This window comes from Homo sapiens, chromosome 12 (genome assembly GCF_000001405.40).
Source record: "Homo sapiens chromosome 12, GRCh38.p14 Primary Assembly".
Lineage (NCBI taxonomy): Eukaryota > Metazoa > Chordata > Mammalia > Primates > Hominidae > Homo > Homo sapiens.
In genome coordinates this window covers 104,201,493-104,225,050 of record NC_000012.12, presented here as the reverse complement: position 1 = coordinate 104,225,050, position 23,558 = coordinate 104,201,493, and the positions used below count along the sequence as shown (strand labels likewise).

The window sequence follows — 23,558 nt, the reverse complement described above, 5'->3', positions numbered from 1 at the left end:
AATATTATCTAATTAACAAGACTACTTTGGTGTTATCCCCTCTTTCAAAAAAACTGTATTACTGGGAAATACAATGTTCCATATGGGACATTGGAAATACACTGTAAAAAATCTGCATTCTCTCACCCTCATAACAATGGCAATTTTACCTGCCTGAGATGTCCCATTTGTAGGATTCCAGTGAGTCAGGGGCAGAGAGGTAGATAAAAGAAGTTTCCAAGGGGGAAAGAGATTCCTGGGTTGATCAAACAGTGGGGGAGAAAATCAGGAGGGAATAACTTGACACAACTATATTTGAACATTTACCGAGCATCTACTATGTGCCATGAACTATCCCAAACAGGAAATTCAACTCTAAACAAGACAGCTATAGGTGCGGTGGCTCATGCCTATAATCCCAGCACTTTGGGAGTCCAAGGCAGGCAGATCACAAGGTCAGGAGTTTGAGACCAACCTGGCCAACATGGTGAAACCCCGTCTTTACTAAAAAAACAAAAATTAGCTGGGTGTGGTGGCCACCTGTAATCCCAGCTACTCGGGAGGCTGAGGCAGAAGAATTGCCTCAACCTGGGAGGCAGAGGTTGCAGTGAGCCGAGATTGCGCCACTGCACTCTAGCCTGGGGACAGAGCAAGACTCTGTTTCAAAAAAACATAAATAAAAAATAAACAAGACATCCTTACCCCCAGGAGCCCAGTCTAATAGAATGCTACACAATACACTATATGTCCTACAAAAAAAATGAGAAGAGCCACAGATGTCCAGAAAGGGCAAAACTATCTCTACTTGGGGAATTACAAAACTGTCATTTGGACTGGGTCTTGATGTGTGAGGAGAGTTTGCCCAGCAAAGAGAAGGAAGGATATTTTAGGTAAAAGAGAACAACCATTCATGAACAGATGAGTGAGGGAGTCTGGCAAGGTCAGGGAACAGGGGAAAAAAAACTTGTGCCACAAGCTTAAAAGGAGACCTAAACTTGTCACACGTCCTTCATCCTTAAAGAAATTTCATCAGGAGTTACAGCTTTGACTAATCCAGTGCGAATGGTTATGCATCAGTGCCTATGCAAAAAGAAACAATCTCACATATATTTCCTTTGCAATCTGCCCTCTCCCCTTCCCACACTACTCTGCCCACACCCAGGGCCAGAGTAACTAAATTGCTTTTGTTGTTGTTTTAATAAACACCATTAGCACTCCTTAGCAAGTCTGCACCAGCCACTGGTCCCCAAAGCTGGCTGCCAGATGCAGCAGTTCATGCTCCCTCCTCACCAGTCCCCACCTTCAGCTGCCTCTCAGTGAGTGATTCAAGAGCTTTTACCACTTTTTCCCAGTGCTTGATCAAGGGTCACCTCCCGGTTTAGCTTTCCTTTTATTCTGCTTCAACTGGACACACCCTCCCTTCCCACAGGTAAGGATTTTTACCAGTCCAGCACATCTAGAAAGATCCCATGGAATCCCGTGAAAGGAATGGTACAGCGAAACCATGCTCCTTGGTCTCCCAACAATGGTAGTCCAGTGTTACATTTCTAACAAACTTGACTTGGGAGTGGGGAGCTGTTTGCTAAGTTCTATTCCTTCTATTCCCCTTCTTCCTTGATCTCACTCTATACATAAAAGAGTGAAATCTAGCTCTTGCTCCAAGAGGTAAGATTACTTCTCTAAACCTAAAACGAATTTGATGACCAAGAGCCTTGTGCCCACTTCTAAACAAATCTTTGTGATAAAGCACTTAATGAAACATTGACCCTATATAGAGTGCAGCAAGCCTTCGATTTGCTCACAGTTGTTTTAAACATTTTTAAAAGTTTAAATGCACATACTTGAGAAAAGCTGCTGCACATACTTGAAAAAGTAGAATTTTGGCAGCACATTTGAGGGGATTAAGCAGCTTAAAATGCCACTATATAAGTGAGCAATAATCTCAAGGCAGCCATAGCTACACTGTAATATCCACAATCTTAAGAAAAATGTCCAAACTTGGAAGTAAAGAAAGAAGTTGACTAAATGTCCTTTCAATGTCATACTGGACCATGTTTAACAAGCCCACCCAAGGATCATTTAATTTTCTTAAGAGAGTGTATCTGTACTTGACTTTGCTGTTTACTATTTTATTACAGCCTAGACACTGAAGTTTCATGTTAACTCGTACATTTCTGCTCAATAATCCCAAAAGTTAGTTTTGTTTGTTTGTTTGTTTTTTGAGACAGAGTCTCACTATTTCACCCAGGCTGGAGTGCAGCAGTGCAATCTCGGCTCACTGCAACCTCCGCCTCTCAGGTTCAAGTGATTCTCCTGCCTCAGCTTCCTGAGTAGCTGGGATTACATGCGCATGCCACCACCTGGCTAATTTTTGTACTTTTAGTACAGATGAGGTTTCACCATGTTCGCCAGACTGGTCTCGAACTCCTGACCTCAAGTGATCTGCCTGCCTCAGTCTCCCAAAGTGCTGGGATTACAGGCATGAGCCACTGCATCTGGCCCAAAAGTTAGTTTTATTGCTCTGTGAGACATTAACCAGCTTTGTAACTACTGTACTAGCAAATTCAATTCATCATTTCTTTGATTATATGTCCCTAGTCCTTGAATTTGCCTTTAAATTAGCTTTACCATTTTATTGGTTCTTTCATTTATTGGTTTAATTAATGACTAAGTTTTGATACCTGTTTTTTTTTCTGTACAAGATCATATTTTTAACGTTTCGAAAACCATACTTTGACAGCGGTCATTTACACTGTTCACTCAGACACTTCTCTGCACTGTGTTACTATCTAAGAAAAACTGTTTTCTGTCCCAGCCACTTCTATACATTCAAAAGACACCATCTTTTTCTCATTTTTTAAATGTGTGCCAGCTTGACATTATTCTACACATTCACAGACCATATTTACCTGCAATCACATCTTGTTTGACCCTCAGTATTTTGCTTAATTGCATTACTGCTGACATTCACAAGCTGGGGAAGTCACAAAAATGATAAATAGAGATTTCTAGTTTCTCTTGAAAAAAAGCAGGTCTGGCCACACTACACTCATTTTCCCACCCAAAGAAAGGGAAGCTCAGTAGAAATTGCCCTGTCTGTACAGCATTCTCTCCTCAGTCCACCCCAGTCTCCACCACTCCCTGCTGTTTACTACCTGCCTGGGTCACTCATTTATATGACCTGCCTGTCCCTGCAGATTTTTAATTTTCAACCCATTAATTGTGGCCTCTTAATTCTTCCCATAACAAGTTATTTCTGGGTCTATACAACTTCCCACCACCTGCCCAGCTCAGTTTTTCATCTAACAGACACTGTCATCTGAAGTTTCTGTATACACCTTCCATAAACACACTAAATTGTGGCAAAAATAACTTTTCTATATTTGTCAAAGTTGGGAGCGTACTTGAATGTTGAAAGCTGAAAACCACTGCACTACCACTAAAACCAACAGGTGGCCGGGAGCGGTGGCTCATGCCTATAATCTCAGCACTTTGGGAGGCTGAGGTGGGCAGATCACCTGAGGTCAGGAGTTGGAGACCAACCTGACCAACATGGAGAAACCCTTGTCTTTACAAAAAATACAAAATTAGTCGGGCGTTGTGGTGCATGCCTGTAATCCCAGCTACTTGGGAGGCTGAGGCAGGAGAATCGCTTGAACCCAGGAGATGGAGTTTGCAGTGAGCCAAGATCATGCCAATGCACTCCAGCCTGGGCAACAAGAGTGAAACTCCGTCTCAAAATAAAATAAAATAAAATAAAAATCCAAACAAACGAAAAACCCAACAGGTAGATTTGTTGCTGTTTTTCTGAGACAGGGTCTCCCTCTGTTACCCAGGCTGGAGTGCAGTAGCCTGATCATGGCTCACTGCAGCCTCGACCTCCCACGCTCATGCGATCCTCCCACCTTAACCTCCTGAGCAGGTGTGACTAACAGGCGCACGCCACCATGCCCAGCTATTTGTTTTTGCAGAGACTGAGGCTCACTTTGTTGCCCAGGCTGGTCTTGAACTCCTGGTGTCAAGCAATCCTCCCAGCTGGGCCTCCCAAAGTGCCAGGAATACAGGCATGAGCCACCACAACCAGCCAGATAGTTTGTTTTTAACATCAAAGAGTGATTTGTGATAGTCATTTATAGTTATATACATGTAGACTAGTTTCTACCAGCAAAGTAATGCTCAGAGCTAGAAAGTAGGATATAAGGAATATTCATGAAATATTCCCTGATGTTTTATGAAGGTAAAGAAAAGGCATTAACAGATTAATTCCTTCTTTTGAGTTCTTTCAAGGATTTAATCCAACTGTAAATCTAAAATACCGCCTCCCCCCCACCGTTTTTTTTTTTTTGGAGACGGAGTTTCGTTCTCATCACCCAGGCTGGAGTGCAATGGCACGACCTCAGCTCACTGCAACCTCTGCCTCCTGGATTAAAGCAATTCTCCTGCCTCAGCCTCCTGAGTAGCTGGGATTACAGGTGTGTGCTACCACGCCCAGCTAATTTTGTATTTTTTTAGTAGAGATGGGGTTTCACCATGTTGGCCAGACTGGTCTCGAACTCCTGACCTCAGATGATCCACCCGCCTTGGCCTCCCAAAGTGCTGGGATTACAGGCATGATCTACCGCACCTGGCCTAAAATACACTTTTTAAAAAAGCTAATTTAAAAGCTTTAAATACTCAGTACACATTAATACAAAGAGTAAACATTCAAATGTGAAAATCCAAATAATGAGTAATGACTTTAAATTACCTGGTTAAAATCAACAAAAAGCAAGATTACTCTACAATTATCTAGCGCATCGTGTAATACTAACTTCTGATTGCAGATTGCATGACTGCATGTCAGTCACGATCTTTGGTTCCATTCCAAAGCTTTCAATTTCCTCTTGGGGCATCTGACTCACCCTTATCAGCCTCAGTGATCTGCAGTAGCAACCTCCACCCCAGCCTCAGCCCCATTGCTAAGGATAGGCACCTCTGCCCAGAAATAGGTGATTTGACGCTGGCCTAAACACCTCACTGCAGTGTTCTCAGGCCTTGGTTCAAATAGAATCACTTGAGACACCAAAAATGAAGCTTCCTTCACTCTGAGGCTGATTTAGTAGGTCTGAAATGGAGAACAGGAAAATGAGTTTTTAATCTACACATTCCCAGCATGTAATTAATTCTCTTGCAGGTGGTCTTAGGACCGCACTTTGAAAAAATACTGTCTCCTCTCCTTACTAGAAGAAGCTGGTCAATGTTAATAGCATTGGCTTTTGGAACATTCCTCACTTATTAAAAAAAAAAAAATTGCCTTTTGCCATATGAGTCATATAAACACATTTACTGATTTGTAGGGCAGTATGCCAAGGACTGTAGGAGATAAGATAGTGAACAAAACACATTCCTGATCCTCAAAAATCCAGCAGGAAAAATGTTTGCAAGCTCATTAAAATAGAATGGAATGTGTGTTACAGAAGAAATACTAAATGCTAAGTGCCAAGATGTTAACTCCCTCTGCCATTCTCCTGAAGTGGTGTGTACCCATCTACTTTTATGATTACACATCATGACACTGCATTTTCTACGCCATTCTTCTCCACGAGACTCTATGTTCAAGGACTGAGATCATGCCTTGTTTATCCCTGAGTTCCCAGTGCCTGATAAATAATAGATGCTCGGTTGAAGAGTCATTCAAGCAAAACCTTCTGCATCATTAAGAAATTAGTTTCTTGAAACTTAACCACATAATTTTAATTTGAGAAGGAACTTAGAGATCATATGGTACTTAAGGAAGGTGGCTTCTAGAGTGTTTGTAGGTGACACACAAAAGAACATTTTTAATGTCAATAGTTATGTATAATATGGGCCTGGTGCAGTATACTTTGGGAGGCTGAGGCAGGAGGATCACTTGAGGCCAGGTGTTCGAGATCAGATGGGGCTGTTGCTTAGTGAGACCTATCTCTACAAAAAATTTAAAATTGAGGCTAGGCATGGTGGTGTGTCCCTGTAATCCTAGCTACTCAGGAAGCTGAGGCAGGAGGATTACTTGAGCCCAGCAGTTCAGTTTCAGTGAGCTATGATTCATGCCACTGCACTCTAATCTAGGCAACAGAGTGAGACCCATCTCTAGAAAAATAATAATCATCATTATGTATATATGTATGTGTATAGAAAAATATCTAGGCTGGGTACAGTGGCTCACACCTGTAATCCCAGCACTCTGGGAGGCCAAGGTGGGAAGATCACTTGAGCCCAGAAGTTTGAGACCAGCCTGGGCAACATGGCAAGACCTCATCTCTACAAAATGTAAAAAAATTAGCTGGGCTTGGTGGCACACTTTACCACACAGGAGGCTGAGGTGGGAGGATTGTTTAAGACCAGGCGGTTGAGGCTGCAATGAGCTATGATTGGGCCACTGCACTCCAGCCTGGGCAACAGAGCAAGACCCTATTTCAAAAAAAAAAAGAAAGAAAAGAAAAAGAAAAATACCTAGTATAAAGCCGTGCTTTAATAGATTAATGCTTAAAATATGCCTAAATTTAAGTTTCAAAAAGTAAATGTAAATAGGTGAAATTCTTCTATGCTGTTAGAAATCAGAGTAGTGTTTGCCCTTGGTATGGGGGTAAGAGACATTAGAGGGGCTCCTGGGGTACTGGAAACGTTTATTTCCTCAGCTGAGTGTGGGCTGCATGCATATACTTCGTTTGTAAAAATTTAGCAAGTTGTATTATAACGAGTGAGCTTTTCTGTATTATAAAATAGTTCAGGCCGGGCGTGGTGGCTCAAGCCTGTAATCCCAGCACTTTGGGAGGCTGAGGCGGGAAGATCACGAGGTCAAGAGTTCAAGACCAGCCTGGCCAACATGGTGAAACCCCGTCACTACTAAAAATACAAAGATTAGCTGGGCATGGTGGCGGGCCTGTAATCCCAGCTATTTGGGAGACTGAGGGAGGAGAATTGCTTGAACCCAGGAGGCGGAGATTGTGGTGAGCCAAGATCATGCCACGGCACTCCAGCCTGGCGATAGAGCAAGACTCCATCTCGGGAAAAAAAAAATGTGGTGTGTGTGTGTATATATATTCCATTTTGTGTGTGTGTGTGTGTATATATGTGTGTGTGTATGTACATATACACACACACAATGGAATATTATTCAGCCTTAAAAAGTAAGGAAATCCTGTCGCATGCTACAATACAGATGAAACTCGAAGACAAGTATGCTAAGTGAAACAAGCCAGTCACAAAAAGACAGACACTGTATGATACCAACTTATATAAGCAATCTAAAGTAGCCAAATTTCACAGAAACAGAAAGTAGAATGATGGATACCAGGGGCTGGGGGAAACGGCAAATGAAAAGTTAACGAGTTGGCATGGAGTTTCAGATTTGCAAGATGAAAAAGTTCAGGGGATCTGCTTCACAACAATGTGAATATACTTAATACTGCTGAAAACTGTATACTTAAAAACGGTTAGGGTCAGCTGGGTGCAGTGGCTCATGCCTGTAATCCCAGCACTTTGGGGAGCTGAGGTGGGCAGATCACCTGAGGTCAGGAGTTCAAGACCAGCCTGACCAACATGGTGAAAACCTGTCTCTATTAAAAATACAAAATTAGCCAGGCGTGGTGGTGCATGCCTGTAATCCCAGCTACTTGGGAGGCTGAGGCAGGAGAATCGCTTCAACCTGGGAGGTGGAGGCTGAGGTGAGCCAAGATGGCGCCATTGCACCCCAGCCTGGGCAACGAGAGCGAAACTAAAAAAAAAAAAAAAACAAAATTGTTAAGATGGTAAATTTTTTTTTTTTAACCACACACAAAAAGAATGTAGCTAAAGAAAAACAGTAAATAAATGGAAGGACATAGATATCAAGAAGATCCTGAGGATGGCACATGAAACGTCAATTTGGGATGCACCTGCTCAAACTCCTTCATTGTACTAATGGCCACAAATTAGCTGCCTGACCTGGACCTTGCCTGACCTTGCTCCTACCCTGTTCCTTTATTCTTCCCTTCCCCTAATCCAAGTCCTTAACTCCAGCAGGATATACAGGCCTCCCTATCTCTAGCATGGTCTCACCGGCTGCTTCCCCTAACAAGAATGTTCTCCCTTCAGACACCTCTACCAAATCCTACCTCATCTATGGGAGCTGCCATCCCCACTTGGCTGTTTTTACCACTCCTTTTAGCCCTTCACCATATGCTGCCTTGTAACTAAACTGTAAGCCTTTGAAAGAGGCAGATCCTACAGCATTTAATAATTCTAGCCATTGGGCAAGGCACTTTTTGGAGCCTCACTTTCTCAAGCCTATAAAAAAGGTGGAGGCGGCCATATGACTATGACCAGGGCTTTTGAGTCAGATGGCCTCAACTGGTATCCCAGCTCTTCCACTTACTAGTTGTGTGCTTTGGGTAAGTTTTATAACCTCTTTGCTTCTCAGTTTCTTCATCTGTATAATGGGGTTTATGATAAATCTCTCAGTATGGCTGGAAACATGAACCAAGATTATTACCCATGTCTAGTGCTTCCAAAGGCCCCTCTCATGTCAGTGCTTAGTAACCACTAGCCATTATTGGCATTATCCGGACAATGGAGAAGAGACTGGGAGCTTTCTCTTCTGGAAGAACAAGTGAAAGGATAAAGCGGGATGATGGTGGGAGAAATGTGCCCAAAATTCAAGGGGATGGAGAAAGGGGGCCGGGAAGGCGTGTCGGACAAGATTCTCGATGGAGGAGGATGCTGGGAGTGGGCCGGGGGCTTCTGGAGAGGTGAAGGGGCACCCCCGGACTCGGCTGTCGGTTTGGTCGCTTCCCCCGTAACCTTTCATTGGAAACACGGTGCTTGTAGGAAGAGGACGCCCTAACGGGCCCTGAGCGAAATCAGGCGGGTCGCTGCCGAGATCTCGGTTCGGTTTCCGACAGGTTTCCGGGCAGGTCCTCGCGGCGGGCCCGCTCCTCCTTCCACCTCCCACCTCTCTCACAGCCAGCGGGCGGGGCAGCCCTCGGCCGGCCGCCGGCCTCCGTCTCCCGGGGTGACCTGGGGGAGCGTTTCTGGGGTCTCCAGCGTGGCGCGCGGTCAGTCACTGACTCCAGTGAGGGGCTTCAAGGCCAGGGCTCCGGGGCACTTTATCCCCAACCCCGGCCGGAAGGCCCGCTTCGGCCCGTCGACCTGGGGACCAGGCCTTCGCCCTCGGTCGTACCTGACCTACGGCGGCCATCGCCGTTCTTGCCTTTCGTCTGCAGCTCCGTTGGGGCGGCCGCCGCCACTGCCTTGCCCTCGGCGCAGCCCATGTCGCACAAGGCCCTGTGGGAACTGACGGAGCCGAAGGACGCCTGGCGGAGGCCGCGAGCCCCCTGCCGGCCGCGGGTCGGAGAACGCGGTGGGCGGGGCGCTCGGTGACAACAGCGAAGTCATAGCCCGTGTATCTTCTTCAAGGTCGTGAATTTTTTTTTTTTAACAGGAAAGAACGGTCGCTAAAGGTAAATTGGAAAATGCAGAAATGGAAAGGAGAAAAGAGCGCACCACCCAAAATCCTTATCCTTCGGCTGGGCGCGGTGGCTTACACCTGTGCACTTTGGGAGGCCGAGGTGGGAGGATTGATCGCTTGAGCCCAGGAGTTTGAGACCATCCTGGGCAATGTAGAGAAACCCTGTTTCTACAAAAAATAATTTTAAAAAATTTATCCTTCACACAAACTACTTTTGCTGTGTTTACTATTTCTTTCCAGTTTTTCCCCTCTATGCATAGTTTTGCATCCAGCATTTCACTTAATACTAGTATTTTCCATACTATCACATAGTCTTGTAAGCCTCCCAGATAACCACCTGGCTTCCACTGTCACTTCAGTCTTTGCCTCTTTGACCGTAGATGAAGCATACACTGAACATCGTAGTTTCTTTTTAATACACTTTATTTTTTAGAGCAGTCTTTTTTTTTTTTTTTTTTTGAGACGGAGTCTCACTCTGTCACCCAGGCTGGAGTGCAGTGGCGCGATCTCAGCCCACTGCAACCTCTGCCTCCCAAGTTCAAGCGATTCTCCTGCCTCAGCCTCCCGAGTAGCTGGGACTACAGGCGTGTGCCACCATGCCCAGCTAATTTTTTGTATTTTTAGTAGAGACGGGGTTTCACCGTGTTAGGCAGGATGGTCTCGATCTCCTGACCTTGTGATCCGCCCGCCTCGGCCTCCCAAAGTGCTGGGATTACAGGCGTCAGCCACTGCGCCTGGCCTTAGAGCAGTCTTAAGTTCACAGCAAAAAGACCATCCTATTTGAACAGAAATCTGATCACGCCCCCCTCAACTCTACCCCCACCCTTTACTTTACTCTATTTTATTTTTACCAGCACTGAGAGCCTTCTAACTTACCCTATATTCTCTGTCACCTGCTCCCACTCCCTCCGCCAGCCTCCCCACGACACCCTGCCCATGTAAACGCTGCCAAAATAGAACCTTTGCATTTTTTTCTTGTATCTTGGCCTTCAGCTTGGGCCAGGTGGCCTCCCCCACCTCTTGAAGGAAAGCAGGGAAGAAGCGGGAAAATATTAATTTGAATAATTATAATAATGTAATAGTCCATCCACTAGAGCTACTGGACGATTACATAGCCTATTATTAGATGTTTAGTTTGTTTTTTATTTTTAAAAATTATGAATAAGGCTGCAGGGAACATCTTTGTGTTTATAGTTTTAAGGCTGTCATTACACGTTGCCAAAATTGCTTTTTTGGAACTGTGGTTCCCATTTGAACTCCTACTAGTAATGAATGAGAGTGATTTTTTTTAACACCAAACCACATTGCGGCACATCAGGTGCACAGTCACTGTTCTCTATCAGTGCAGTGCTCTGTTTTTCCTTCTTTCAATTAACTAACATATGGTAAGCATCCAACTTATGCCTGGCTTTGTTTAGGGTTACAAGGTGACTCAAATTCCCTGGTCTCAAGGAACTTCCACCCCAGCTGAGATTTAGTGAACTTGTCTGGTCACCAGATGCGTGGCAATTGTGTGGGCCCTTTGTTTTCATTTGGGTTTGTGGACAAGCTTATATCCTGCTTCTCTGGAGAGCAGCCCAGAGTCAAAATGCTCTTGGAAAACACTGGGTGTTTATTTGCTTAAACACAGAAAACAAATAAAACTGAACCAAAGGCTTTTTTTTTTTTTTTTTTTGGAGATGGAGTCTCGCTCTGTTGCCCAGACTGGAGTGCAGTGGCACGATCTCGGCTCACTGCAAGCTCCGCCTCCCGGGTTCACGCTATTCTTCTGCCTCAGCCTCCCTAGTAGCTGGGACTACAGGCGTCCACCACCACGCTAATTTTTTTTGGTATTTTTAGTAGAGACGGGGTTTCACCATGTTAGCCAGGATGTTCTCAATCTCCTGACCTTGTGATCCACCCACCTCAGCCTCCCAAAGTGCTGGGATTACAGGCATGAGCCACCGTGCCCGGCCACCAAAGGCTTTTAATAACAGACATTGCACAAAGCTAAAGTAAATCTCTCTCTCTCTCTTTCTTTTTTTTTTTTTTTTTTTGAGATGGAGTTTTGCTCTTGTTGCCCAAGCTAGAGTGCAATGGCACAATCTTGGCTCACTGCAACCTCCACCTCCCAGGTTCAAGTGATTCTCCTGCCTCAGCCTCCCAAGTAGCTGGGATTACAGGCATCAGCCACCATGCCTGCCTAATTTTTTGTATTTAGTAGAAAAAGGGTATCACCATGTTGGTCAATCTGGTATCAAACTCCTGACCTCAGGTGATCCACCTGCATCAGTCTCCCAAAGTGCTCGTATTACAAGTGTGAGCCACCGTGCCCGGCCCTAAAGTAAATCCTAATAACAACTTCATCCAAGTGTTTGGTGTCTGTAGTAACTAATGCAACTAAGCCAGGACCCTTTAAAAGCAAAGTTCCCTCCCTCTGCGAGCCAGGTCTACAGTTCCTTGGTTCCACTGGAATGACTGTTTCAGAGATTTTTTTTTTAAATATGCTATTCAATTTATGTTAAAATTACCATTTTATCATCAAAATTCCAACTGTGGCTGTCATGTATTTTTCTCTATTTAGTACATGTATTTAACTAAGATGATGGCTTTCCTGTTATTTTAAACACCTAGGCAAAAGTATCTGAGAGTCATGTGCCTACCTGTGTCATCCTATCATATTTATAATAGCCAACAATTTGTTGGGTACTTACGGCGAGCCAGGCATCCTGCTAAGTCCTTTACTGGCATAAAAGTATGCTTATCTCATGTTTTTCCTGCAAGAGCCACATTTAGAAGGGTCTCTTATTATTCCTATTTTACAGAGGAGAATCCTGATGCTTAGGGGATTAATTGCACAGGATCACACAGCTTGATACTGAAATCCAGGTTTCCTAATTTCCAAGCCTCTGCTCTTAACCACTAACCTCTCTTATTACTATGACATCACACTCCACTAATTCCTATACATGAAAAGAATGTTTCCCTGGGAACTTTGTTTTGAGATTTAATTTTTTTAATTTTTTTTTTTTTTATGAGATGGAGTCTCACTATGTCGCCCAGGCTGGAGTGCAGTGGTGAGATCTTGGCTCACTGCAAGCTCCTCCCGGGTTCACGCCATTCTCCTGCCTCAGCCTCCTGAGTAGCTGGGACTACAGGCGCCCGCCACCACACCCAGCTAATTTTTTTTTATTTTTAGTAGAGACGGGTTTCACCGTGTTAGCCAGGATGGTCTCGATCTCCTGACCTCGTGATCCCCCCGCCTTGGCCTCCCAAAGTGCTGGGATTACAGGCTTGAGCCATCGCACCCGGCCTAATTTTTTTTTTTTTTTTGAGATGGAGTCTCACTCTGTCACCCAGGCTGGAGTGCAGTGGTGCCGTCTTGGCTCACTGCAACCTCCACCTCCCGGGTTCAAGCAGTTCTCCTGCCTAGCCTCCTGAGTAGCTGGGACTATAGGTGCACGCCACCACACCTGGCTACTTTTTTGTATTTTTAGTAGAGATAGGGTTTCACCATGTTGGCCAGGCTGGTCTTGAACTCCTGACCTTAGGTGATCCACCCGCCTTGGCCTCCCAAAGTGGCGTGAGCCACTGCACCTGGCCATTGAGTTTTAATTTAATTATACATGATTTGTTTAAAGAGCATCAAAAGGGAGGGCATCTCTTTTCTTTTTTTGAGACAGAGTCTCACTCTGTCGCCCAGGCTGGAGTGCAGAGGCACACTTTCAGCTCACTGCAACCTCCATCTCCCGGGTTCAAGCAATTCTCCTGCCTCAGCCTCCTGAGTAGCTAGGATTACAGGTGCATGCCACCACACCCAGCTAATTTTTTATATTTTTGGTAGAGACGGGGTTTCATCATGTTGGCCAGGCTGGTCTCAAACTCCTGACCTCAGATGATCCACCCACCTCGGCCTCCCAAAGTGCTGGGATTACAGGCGTGAGCCACCATGCCTGGGGGAGGGCATCTCTTTTCTACCCAATAATAATTAATTCCCAGTCCTCATCTTACTTGGCCTATCCATGACATATGACCCATGTTTCATAATCTCCTCCTTAGAATGATTGGCTTCCAGGGTACCACACTAACCTAGATTTTCTCCTATTGTGCTGGATGCCCCTACTCAGTCTCCTTTGCTGGTTCCTCCTCAATTTTCCTGGCACTTAATATTGAAGTACTAAAGCTCAGTCCTCGAACTTCTCCCCTCCTCTCTCTCTTATAATCTGCATTTGCTTCTCTGGTGATCTCCTTTAGTCTCAGAGCTTTAAATGTCATCTATCTGCTGACAACTCCCAAACTTATGTCTCCTGCTGCAGCCACTTTCATTAACTCCAGGCTCACATATTCACCTGGCACCTGGCATCTCCACTTGAGTGTCTAATAAACATCTCAAGCCTAAAATGTCCAAGCAGATTGTCCCCTCCCAAACCTATTCCCACGGTCTTCCCCATCTCAGAAAATGGCAACTCCATTCTTCCACTTGCTCAGGCCAAAAACCTTGGCGTCATCCTTGATTCTTCTCTCTCATACTCCACCTTCAATTGGCCGGCAAGTCCTGTCCACTCTACCTTCAAATGATATTTAAAAATGAATAAATTGGCCGGGAGCGGTGGCTCACGCCTGTAATCCCAGCTCTTTGGGAGGCCGAGGCAGGTGGATCACGAAGTCAGATCGAGACCATCCTGGCTAACATGGTGAAATCCCCTCTCTACTAAAAAAATACAAAAAAATTAGCCAGGCGTGGTGGCAGGCGCCTGTAGTCCCAGCTACTCGGGAGGCTGAGGCAGGAGAATGGCGTGAACCCGGGGGGCGGAGCTTGCAGTGAGCCGAGATCCCGCTACTGCACTCCAGCCTGGGCGGCAGAGCGAGACTCCGTCTTAAATAAATAAATAAATAAATAAATAAATAAATAAATAAATTCCCTACATCCAGCTTATAGGAAAAAGAAGATAAAGGAACAAGTTAAACAACACTATGGGGATGTAAATGGCAAAATCCAGAATCTGCCAATTTCATCCACAAATACAGTAATTGCAAGGGAAGAAAAAGAGGAAGTGGGAACTTATTGATGAAAAGAGACTTAGGATATATGAAGTACCCAGAGTTGTCAAATTCGCAAAGACAGAAGGTAGAATAGTGGTTGCCAGGGATTTGGGGGAGGGGGAAATTAGGAGTTTAATTTAATGGGTACAGAGTTTTAATTTGGTAAGATAGAAGTAGTTCTGGAGACGGATGGTGTGATGGTTCCACACAGTGTAAATGTGCTTAATGCCACTAAGCTGTATACTTTAAAATGCTTAAAATTGTCAATTTCTCATGTATATTTTACTACAATATAAAGAGGGAGAGAGAGAGAGAGACAGGAGACACATCAACCAAATGCAGTGCACTTTGGGTTCTGATGTCAAAAAAAATCAACAAATTAATTTTTAAAAAAATTGTGGCCGGGCGTGGTGGCTCACGCCTACAATCCCAGCACTTTGGGAGGCAAGGCAGGTGGATCCCCTGAGGTCAGGAGTTCGAGAGCAGCCTGGCCAACATGTTGAAACCCCATCTCTACTAAAAATACAAAAATTAGCTAGGCGTGGTGGTGCGCGCCTGTAATCCCAGCTACTTGGGAGGCTGAGGCAGAAGAATCGCTTGAACCCAGAAGTCGGAGGTTGCAGTGAGCCGAAATCACACCATTGCACTCCAGCCTGGGTGACAAGAGCAAGACTCTGTCTTTAAAAAAAAAAAAATTATTTATATATGAAAACATTTTGAATATGGACTGGATACTTAAGATTGTTAATGTTTTATTTGTGATTCTATTTGTGTAGTAAGGTTTTTAAAAAGTACTTTTCTTTTAGAGATACATCCTGAAATAGTCGCAACTGAAATTATTATGTATCTGGGATTAAAAAAAAAAAATCTAATAGGCCAGGTGTGGTGGCTCAAGACTGTAATCCCAGCACTTTGGAAGCCCAAGGCAGGTGGATCACTTGAGGTCAGGAGTTCGAGACCAGCCTATCCAACATGGTGAAACCCCGTCTCTACTAAAAATACAAAAAAAATTTAGCCGGGCATGGTGGTGCATGCCTGTAATCCCAGCTACTCCGGAGGCTGAGGGAGGAGAATCACTTGAATCCAGGAGGCGGAGCTTGTGGTAAGCCGGCATCGTGCCATTGCATTCCAGCCTAGGCAACAAGAGCAAAACTATATCAAGGAAGGAAGGAAGGAAGGAAGAGAGAGAGAGAGAGAGAGAGAGAGAGAGAGAGAGAGAGAGAGAGAAAGAAAGAGAAAGAAAGAAAGAAAGAAAGGAAGGAAGGAAGAAAGAGAGAAAGGAATCACCTTCTATATAATGCAAAATGGTAATAATAATATAACAACATAAGGTAACCTATAATATAGCATAATAATTTGATATGCTATGCTGTAGACATTTTACATAACTATCTTGGTTATTGTCTGCCCTCCCCAAAATAATGGACACTCATCAGGGCAGGAACTTCTGTCTTTATGTTTACTACTGTATCCTCAGCACCAAGAACAGCATTGCTGAAGGAGGCAAGAAGGAACATCAATGCAATTTACAAGCTGATGATCTTGGGACAGCATTCATTCACTCAAAAATTACTTGTGGGCTGGGAGCATTGGCTCACGACTGTAATCCCGTACTTTGGGAGGCTGAGGTGGGAGGGTCGCTTGAGCCCAGGCATTCAAGACCAGCCTAGGCAACATAATAAGACTCTATCTCTACAAAAAAATTAAAAAAAAAACTTAGGTGGGCATGGTGGTGCCCGCCTGTAGTCCCAGCTACTACTTGGGAGGCTGAGGTGTAAGGATCACTTGAGCCCGGGATTTCAAAGCTGCAGTGAACCGTGATCACACCCCTACACTCCAGCCTGGGTGACAAAGTGAGACCCTGTCTCTCAGAAAAAAAAAAAAAAAAAAAAAAAAAAGTTACTTATGGAGCCCTTGCTGTGTGCAGGCCACTATTCTAGTTGCCACAGGATAATAATTTATAGAACTCACCACCCTCCTTCCACCTCTGCCATAATTTTCAGTATGAGATGATTGATGGAAAAGCCACCATCAAACCATATTCAGAACATCCCATTTAAAATAAACCATCAGTCCACCTCAGAGGACCTCTCCACAGTTGGAGTTTATCAGCAAAACCCTAGAAGTCTCAACAAGATTAGGTTCCATGATTACGTGGTGAATCTTTAAATGCTGGCAATTCAGATACAGTGCATTTCTGGAATGGGTTGGAGGAATACTCTGTTCTAGTTAAATCTGTTGGCCTTACATGGACTTTCCTCCCCCTGCCTGCTCCTCGTACCATCATTCATGGTTACAGTTATCCCTAGCCAGCCAAGTTCTGCTCATTCTACCACCTAAATATCTTTCTAATCCTTCTGCTGCTCCCCAGCCCTACAGCCAGTGTCTTGGTCTCCCCACCCCTCATTCCCCACACCCCACCTTGATGATTAGTCCTAGCCACAGTGTCTTCTCCACCTTCAGTCTTGTCCCCATCATATCCTTCCTCTGCGTGGCTGCCCGCAAGTCCTTCTGTGACATTTCTGCCTCATGCGGTTCCCAAAATCTGCATCCATTCAGCACACACACTCAACACCTGTTCCAGGCCAATAAATCACGGTGGGAGGAGCCAGGACTCCAAAGGAGAACAAAACAAAACAAGCTTCCTGCCATCTCAGTGTGGTTGGAAGAGAGGAGAGACACGCAAATCAACATGCAAATTCCTGAGCATGGCACAGGAGTTGGCCCTTCATTAGTCTGTGTCTCCCGCTGCTTTCCCCAAAGCGAAGTGCACCGTGAAGCCACATCACCTGTGGGCCACCCTTCCTGGGCTGACTTATCTCTACCCCTCATTCAGCAATGGGCTTGCTGGGCCAGGTGCTTCCAGAACATTCTGTCCTCCTATCATTGCACTTGGGCTGCATGGTATTTATTCCTCAGAGCAGCTGCAGAATGTCTCTTACAGAGGACTTCAAAGGGCAGAGACTGGATAGAGAAAGAATTTGAAGCTGGGTTGACCAAGTACTTCACATGAGATCATGAAAACTCTAACTATATCAAGAAATAGCTGTGGCTGGGAGGCTGGGAGGAGGGAATAACTAAAGTTCCCCCAAGCTACCCTGTGATACCACCACTGTTTTACCTACAAGATTGTGAACTTGTGAAGGGCAGCCTGTGTCTAATTCACCTTGTGTCCCTGGGGCCCAGCTAAGTGCCTAGGAGAATTATGTAAATAGCCTACAGCAAAACATCAATCACCAATTATATACTGAAAATAATTCTAGGCCGGGCATGGTGGCACATGCCTGCTATCCCAGCACTTTGGGAGGCCAAGGCAGTTGGATCTCCTGAGGTCAGGAGTTCAAAACCAGCCTGGCCAACATGGAGAAACCCTGTCTCTACTAAAAATACAAAATTAGCCAGGCGTGGTGGTCCACGCCTGTAATCCCAGACACTCGGGAGGCTGAGGCAGGAGAATCGCTTGAATGTGGGAGGTGGAGTTTGCATTGAGCCAAGATCGCGCCGTTGCACTCCGAGCTGGGCAACAGAGTGAAACTCCGTCTCAAAAACAAAACAAACAAACTAAAAGTAAAAAAATTAGCTGGGTGTAGTGGTGCGCACCTGTAATCCCATCCACTCGGGAGGCTGAGGCAGGAGAATCGCTTGAACCTGGAAGGTGGAGACTGAAGTGAGCCAAGATCGCACCACTGCACCCCATCCTGGGGGACAGAGCAAGGCTCTGTCTGAAAAGAAAAGAAAAGGAAAAAAAGAAAAGGAAAACGTTCTAGTTATTTTAACTTTCTGGTTGTTTGAATTTTGCACTGAAATTTAGACTTTAGGGCCATTTCCCTAGATCTAATTTCCCTAATATTCAAACTTTTTGCTTGAGTCACACACAAACTGTGTTACATTTTAAAAGTGATTGTAATACTCAGTCACCTATTTGTAAGACCATCTGTGGTCTAGTCACTCAAAACAACCAAATATGCAGACAACATAAAGATGAAATGAATGTTGGTTTCTTTTATTGTAGTTGTGATGGATGGGAAGGTGGCCTCCAAACCACCTGTGGTGGGTCACTGGAAGACAAACCTGAAGGGTTTGTTGCACCTAATGCAGTCCAGTCAGGATCAGTCTGTGCCTCAAAAGGTGCCTGAACGGGCACCACTGAAATCCTAGGCAAGCAGAGTACGAAGCCAGGCTCTTTTTTTCTCCTTTTTTTGAGACGAAGTCTCACTCTGTTGCCCAGGCTGGAGTATAGTGGCATGATCTCGGCTCATTGCAACCTCCACCTCCTGGGTTCAAGTGATTCTCTTGCCTCAGCCTTCTGAGTACCTGGGATTACAGACACGTGCCACCATTCCTGGCTAATTTTTGTATTTTTAGTAGAGACAGGGTTTCACCATGTTGTCCAAGCTGGTCTCCAACTCCTGGTCTCAAGCGATCCATCCACCTCTGCCTCTCAAAGTGCTGGAATTTCAGACATTAGCCACCACACCCAGCCCCGGGAAGCCAGGATTTTGCCAGGCTTTTTTTTTTTTTTTATCATACAGACCTAAATTGGAGTCTTACTTCTTGCATTCATTAGCTTGTGATTTTGAGTAAGTTACTGAACTTCTTTGAGGTTCCATCTTCTTTATAAAATGAGAACTATAGGCTAGGCATGGTAGCTCATACCTGTAATCTGAACACTTTGGGAGGCCAAAGCAAAAGGATTGCTTGAGGCCAGGAGTTTGAGACCAGTTTGGGCAACATAGCAAGACCCTGTCTTTACAAAAAAACAAAAAAAGCAATTCACCAGGCGTGGTGGCACATACCTGTAGTCCCAGCTACTCTGGAGGTGATTAAAAGCCAACCAGTTTGAGCCCAGGAGTTCAAGGCTGGAGTGAGCTATGATGGCACCACTGTACTCCAGCCTGCATGACAGAGCCAGACCCTGCCTCTAAAATAAAATCGAAACTATTATAATACCTATGTGGCATGATAGCTCTGAAGATATAAAATAAAAGCAAACAATCAGCATGGTAAGTGGCACACAGTAGACACTCAAGAAACGAATGTTTTCTGCCTTTCCCTGTTGGCTGTGTTCTACAAACGTCTCCTGTGAAAAACTCCAAAAACTTATAGGATTTGGCGTTATTGCTGATATGGTAGGAGGGCAGGGAAATGCTGGGTAGAAAAGACAGGGTCCCTGGCGAGGGCTCCACCCTCAGGCCTGTGCCCACAGGCCTAGATGAGGACAGGCATTCTGTTTTCACGCCCAAAAGGTTGCCTTTTGGCCCACCACGCCTCCCAATCCTGTGCCCATAAAAACCCAGGACCATAGTGCGCACACACACAAGTGGCTGGACATCAAGAGGAACAGAGGAGCATACCAACAGACACCAGCAGACACCAGCAGGCCAGTGACAGCAGAACGACATGGACACCAAGGGGAATTCGGCCAGGGGCAGTCGGAGGAGAGTCCGCTGGGCGGCCTGGCTTCAGGGGAAAACAACCTTCACACTCTGGCTTCCCATCCATCTTCCCCCTTCTGGCTTCCCACCCATCTCGCTGGGAGCTACCTCCACCACCCAATAAAATCTTGCACTCATCCTCCAAGGCCCCGTGTGATCCGATTTTTCCAGTACATTAGAGCAAGGACCTGGGATACAGAAAGCCCTCTGTCCTTGGGATAAGGAAAGAGTCTAACTGAGCTGATTAACACAAGCCACCTACAGACAGCAAAGCTGAAAGAGCGCACTGTAACGCGCGCCAACTAGGGCTTGAGGAGCTGTAAACACTCAACCCTGGATGCTGCTGTAGGATCGAGCCCAAAAAACATTCCCCATGATCTGCCCATTTGCATGCTCCCCCTAGGGCTTTGAGCAGTGGGACACCAAAGAAGCAAGCCACATCCCTGTCCCACGCCCTGAGAGGGGGATAAGGGAGCTTCTCCTACTTCATTACCCCCATTTTGGCAAGTGAGGAAATTGAGGCCTCAAGTCTAAACGGTGACAAAACATTTTGCTCCTAAAAAAGGGTTCCGCAATTACTTGGTTGATTTAATCTCTAAACATTAACAACCGAGATACCACATGTTTTCCTTTATACAAAATGAGGCCAGGTGCGTTGACTGACACCTGTAATCCTGGCACTTTGGGAGGCCAAGGCAGGTGGATCACCTGAGTCCAGGAGTTCAAGACAAGCCTGGCCAACATGGTGAAACCCGGTTTCTACTAAAAATACAAAAAGTAGTCAGGAATGGTGGTGGGCACCTGTAGTCCCAGCTACTCAGGAGGCTGAGACAGGAGAATTGCTTGAACCCGAGAGGCAGAGGTTGCAGTGAGCCAAGATCATACCATTTTACACTCCAGCCTGGGCACCAGAGCAAGACTCTGTCTCAAAAAAAAAAAAAAAAAAAAGCAAAACTATAAATTGCTTTCAATTTTTTCTGAGTCCCACAGTGTTGAGAAATCCTACACATTAGTCCCTGTAAAGAAACTTCATCTAGTTTATAATTTTCTTAGGGCCTGGCTTTGTCTTCCAATACAAGAACAATTTTCTCTGCCATTTTAATTTTTTCCCCCCAGTGACTAAGAGTTGGTTAAACACACGGTTACTACTGGTTCTTGCCTAAAGAATAGTGGGTTTTTAAAAAAAGTAATACATACATAATTTTTTCCCCCAAAATATACAAAAGAGGCCGAGCGTGGTGGCTCACGCCTGTAATCCCAACACTTTGGGAGGCCGAGGCATGCAGATCACTTCGAGACCAGCTTGGCCAACATGGTGAAACCCCGTCTCTACTAAAAATACAAAAATTAGCTGGGCATGCTGGCACATGCCTGTAATCACACTACTTGGGAGGCTGGGGCATGAGTATCACTTGAACCCCAGAGGCGGAGGCTGCAGTAAGCCAAGATTGTGCCACTGCACTCCAGCCTGGGCAACAGAGCAAGACTCTGTCAAACACACACACACACACACGAGTTTACACTAAAAAATCTCTCTCTTCCACCTTACCCCATGCCCCAAATTCCTCTACCTGGAGGCAACTACTGTTAGCATGTTCTTATGGATCTTTCTAGAGAGAATCTTTACATTTACAATCAGAAGACAGCTTTAAGATGAAAATTAGGATGCTTTTCTTGTGTCATGCAAATGAGGATTTAGTTTCAATGATATAACAAATCAGTCAGCTTCTAGGGGTGAAAATCAGATTAGCCTAAAAAAACACTGAGGATTAAGAATGACTAAAGGACAACCAGCTTGGGGACAAATTTGATTTTTATTTTATTAAAATGGGCTTTCCACTCTGAGTTTCTGGAGCTAGGTGTCCTATGGAAAGATACTCCTGTGACTGGATTCTATATTAAAAACAATATTGTCTGCTATCTGAAAAACAGTCCTGAGAAATCTTTATCTACACAGCAATAAAAGGAAAAAGATGGGACATAAGAGTGTTCACAATTTAATGATGCTCTTACAAAGAAAGCAATTTAAGAAATGAATCAACTCAATCGAGGAATAAGTTGACTCTAGAATTTTCAATGTGGTATTTAAATTTGATTCATCTAATGAAGAACATGGTGTGCACCGAGTGAGAACAAATCTAATTCCATACAATAGCATGTATTTTACCTTCGGTTGACTCTAGAATCCATTTATTTAGCAGATATTTATTGAGCATTTACGATGTCCCATGCCTCCCTCATGCCAGGGATGGGGAAAAGGAGTCAAGCAACTATACAATTATTATTCCTGCTTCACTCTTTATCTGTTTTTCCAGCCATTTTGTATTTATTATTTCACATGTGTCTCCCAGAAACCCCATGAGGTCCAGAGAGGTGAAATGACTTGCCTAAAGACATGCAGAGGACACATGGCAGAGTGGGAACTTTTTTTTTTTTTTTGAGTCAGAGTCCCACTCTTGCCCAGGCTGGAGCATAATGGTGAGATCCAGCTTACTCCAACCTCCGCCTTCCTGGTTCAAGTAATTCTCCAGCCTCAGCCTCCTGAGTAGCTGGGATTACAGGCATGCACCACCACCCCTGTCTAATTTTTGTATTTTTAGTAGAGACAGTGTTTTACCATATTGGTCAGGCTGGTCTTGAACTCCTGACCTCGTGATCCACCCGCTTCAGCCTCCTGAGGTGCTGGGATTACAGGCGTGAGCCACCGCACCCTGGCCCATGCATGTTTATAGCAGCATAATTTGCAATTGCAAAAACATTTCAACCAGCCCAAATGCCCATCAATCAATGAGTGGATAAAGAAAATTACACACACACACACACACACACACACACACACACACACACACCCCCATGGAATATTACTCAGCCATAAAAAGGAATGAAATAATGGCATTCACCTGGATGGAGCTGGAGACCATTATTCTAAGTGAAGTCACTCAGGAATGGAAAACCAAACATCATATGTTCTCACTTATAAGTGGGAGCTAAGCTATGAGGACACAAAGGCAATCGACTTTGGAGACTTGGAGAAAGGGTGGGAGTGGGGTGAGGGATAAAAGACTATATATTGGCTACAGCGCACACTGCTCAACTGTTGGATGCACCAAAATCTCAGAAATCACCACTGAAGAACTTATCCATGTAACCAAACACTACCTGTTTCCCAAAAACCTATTAAAAGAAAGAAAAGATTATCACCACAGATATCCCAGAACTCAAAACTGAAGCTGTGATAATCCCTGGAGCCACAGAGAAGTGAAAAACTGTGAGCAGAAGGTAGGAGAAACAGATTTCTTTCTCTGTGATGCCCATTTCTGCAAACAGCCAGGCACCATGTGGAAAAGTTATCCTGGACTCAAGGCTTCTACACTGGGAAAACTGAGATTTCAGTGGACACTCTGCTTCCCCATTATCTTGGATTCCTATGCACAAAAGCCATTCCTGCCTCAATCCAGGGGAAGCATTGCAAGTGCCTATAGAGAGAAGGACCCTTGAGGGCAGTTGGGGACACAGTGAAACCCAGTGTGTGAAACGGGGGCTGGTCTCCATTCAGACAAAGCAGATACTGAATCAGAGACGTATTTCAGGAGCATGATGCTGTAGGAGGTGTGAGCCATAGGTCCTCTGGGCATGAACCCCTAGCCAGCCTCCCC

At 44.9% G+C, this 23,558-nt stretch overlaps 1 protein-coding gene across 1 annotated transcript in view, besides 6 other annotated features; it reads right to left on the bottom strand.

The window, feature by feature from the left end:
* The window catches only part of TXNRD1 (thioredoxin reductase 1), a 134,529-nt gene extending 125,257 nt beyond the window's left edge, over positions 1-9,272 (bottom strand). The window contains exon 1 of the mRNA NM_001093771.3: positions 9,158-9,272. Within this exon, the coding sequence (NP_001087240.1) occupies positions 9,158-9,248 (91 nt within the window). The 5' untranslated portion in view covers positions 9,249-9,272. The remainder of the gene's footprint in view (positions 1-9,157) is intronic.
* Positions 5,461-5,605: an enhancer, noted in NCBI's record as "145 bp enhancer 194 fragment used in the MPRA reporter construct; PK_construct_3446". NCBI's record gives its function as "activates an SV40 promoter by MPRA in HepG2 cells {active_cell/tissue: HepG2}" and the evidence as "EXISTENCE:reporter gene assay evidence [ECO:0000049][PMID:23512712]".
* Positions 5,528-5,538: a transcriptional cis regulatory region, noted in NCBI's record as "NFE2L2 motif; enhancer activity is reduced when this motif is scrambled". NCBI's record gives its function as "necessary for full MPRA enhancer 194 activity {active_cell/tissue: HepG2}" and the evidence as "EXISTENCE:site-directed mutagenesis evidence [ECO:0005528][PMID:23512712]".
* Positions 8,264-8,879: an enhancer, noted in NCBI's record as "H3K27ac-H3K4me1 hESC enhancer chr12:104609950-104610565 (GRCh37/hg19 assembly coordinates)". NCBI's record gives its function as "activates a minimal SCP1, AML or CMV promoter by ChIP-STARR-seq in naive H9 embryonic stem cells {active_cell/tissue: H9 hESC(naive)}" and the evidence as "EXISTENCE:reporter gene assay evidence [ECO:0000049][PMID:30033119]".
* Positions 8,880-9,496: an enhancer, noted in NCBI's record as "H3K27ac-H3K4me1 hESC enhancer chr12:104609333-104609949 (GRCh37/hg19 assembly coordinates)". NCBI's record gives its function as "activates a minimal SCP1, AML or CMV promoter by ChIP-STARR-seq in naive H9 embryonic stem cells {active_cell/tissue: H9 hESC(naive)}" and the evidence as "EXISTENCE:reporter gene assay evidence [ECO:0000049][PMID:30033119]".
* Positions 9,320-9,409: a silencer, noted in NCBI's record as "silent region_4791". NCBI's record gives its function as "represses an Ori minimal core promoter by ATAC-STARR-seq in GM12878 lymphoblastoid cells {active_cell/tissue: GM12878}" and the evidence as "EXISTENCE:reporter gene assay evidence [ECO:0000049][PMID:35858748]".
* Positions 15,154-15,323: an enhancer, noted in NCBI's record as "experimental_23771 CRE fragment used in MPRA reporter constructs". NCBI's record gives its function as "activates a minimal promoter by MPRAs in K562 erythroleukemia cells, with activity observed for both the introgressed and non-introgressed 12:104603591 variant alleles {active_cell/tissue: K562}" and the evidence as "EXISTENCE:reporter gene assay evidence [ECO:0000049][PMID:34662402]".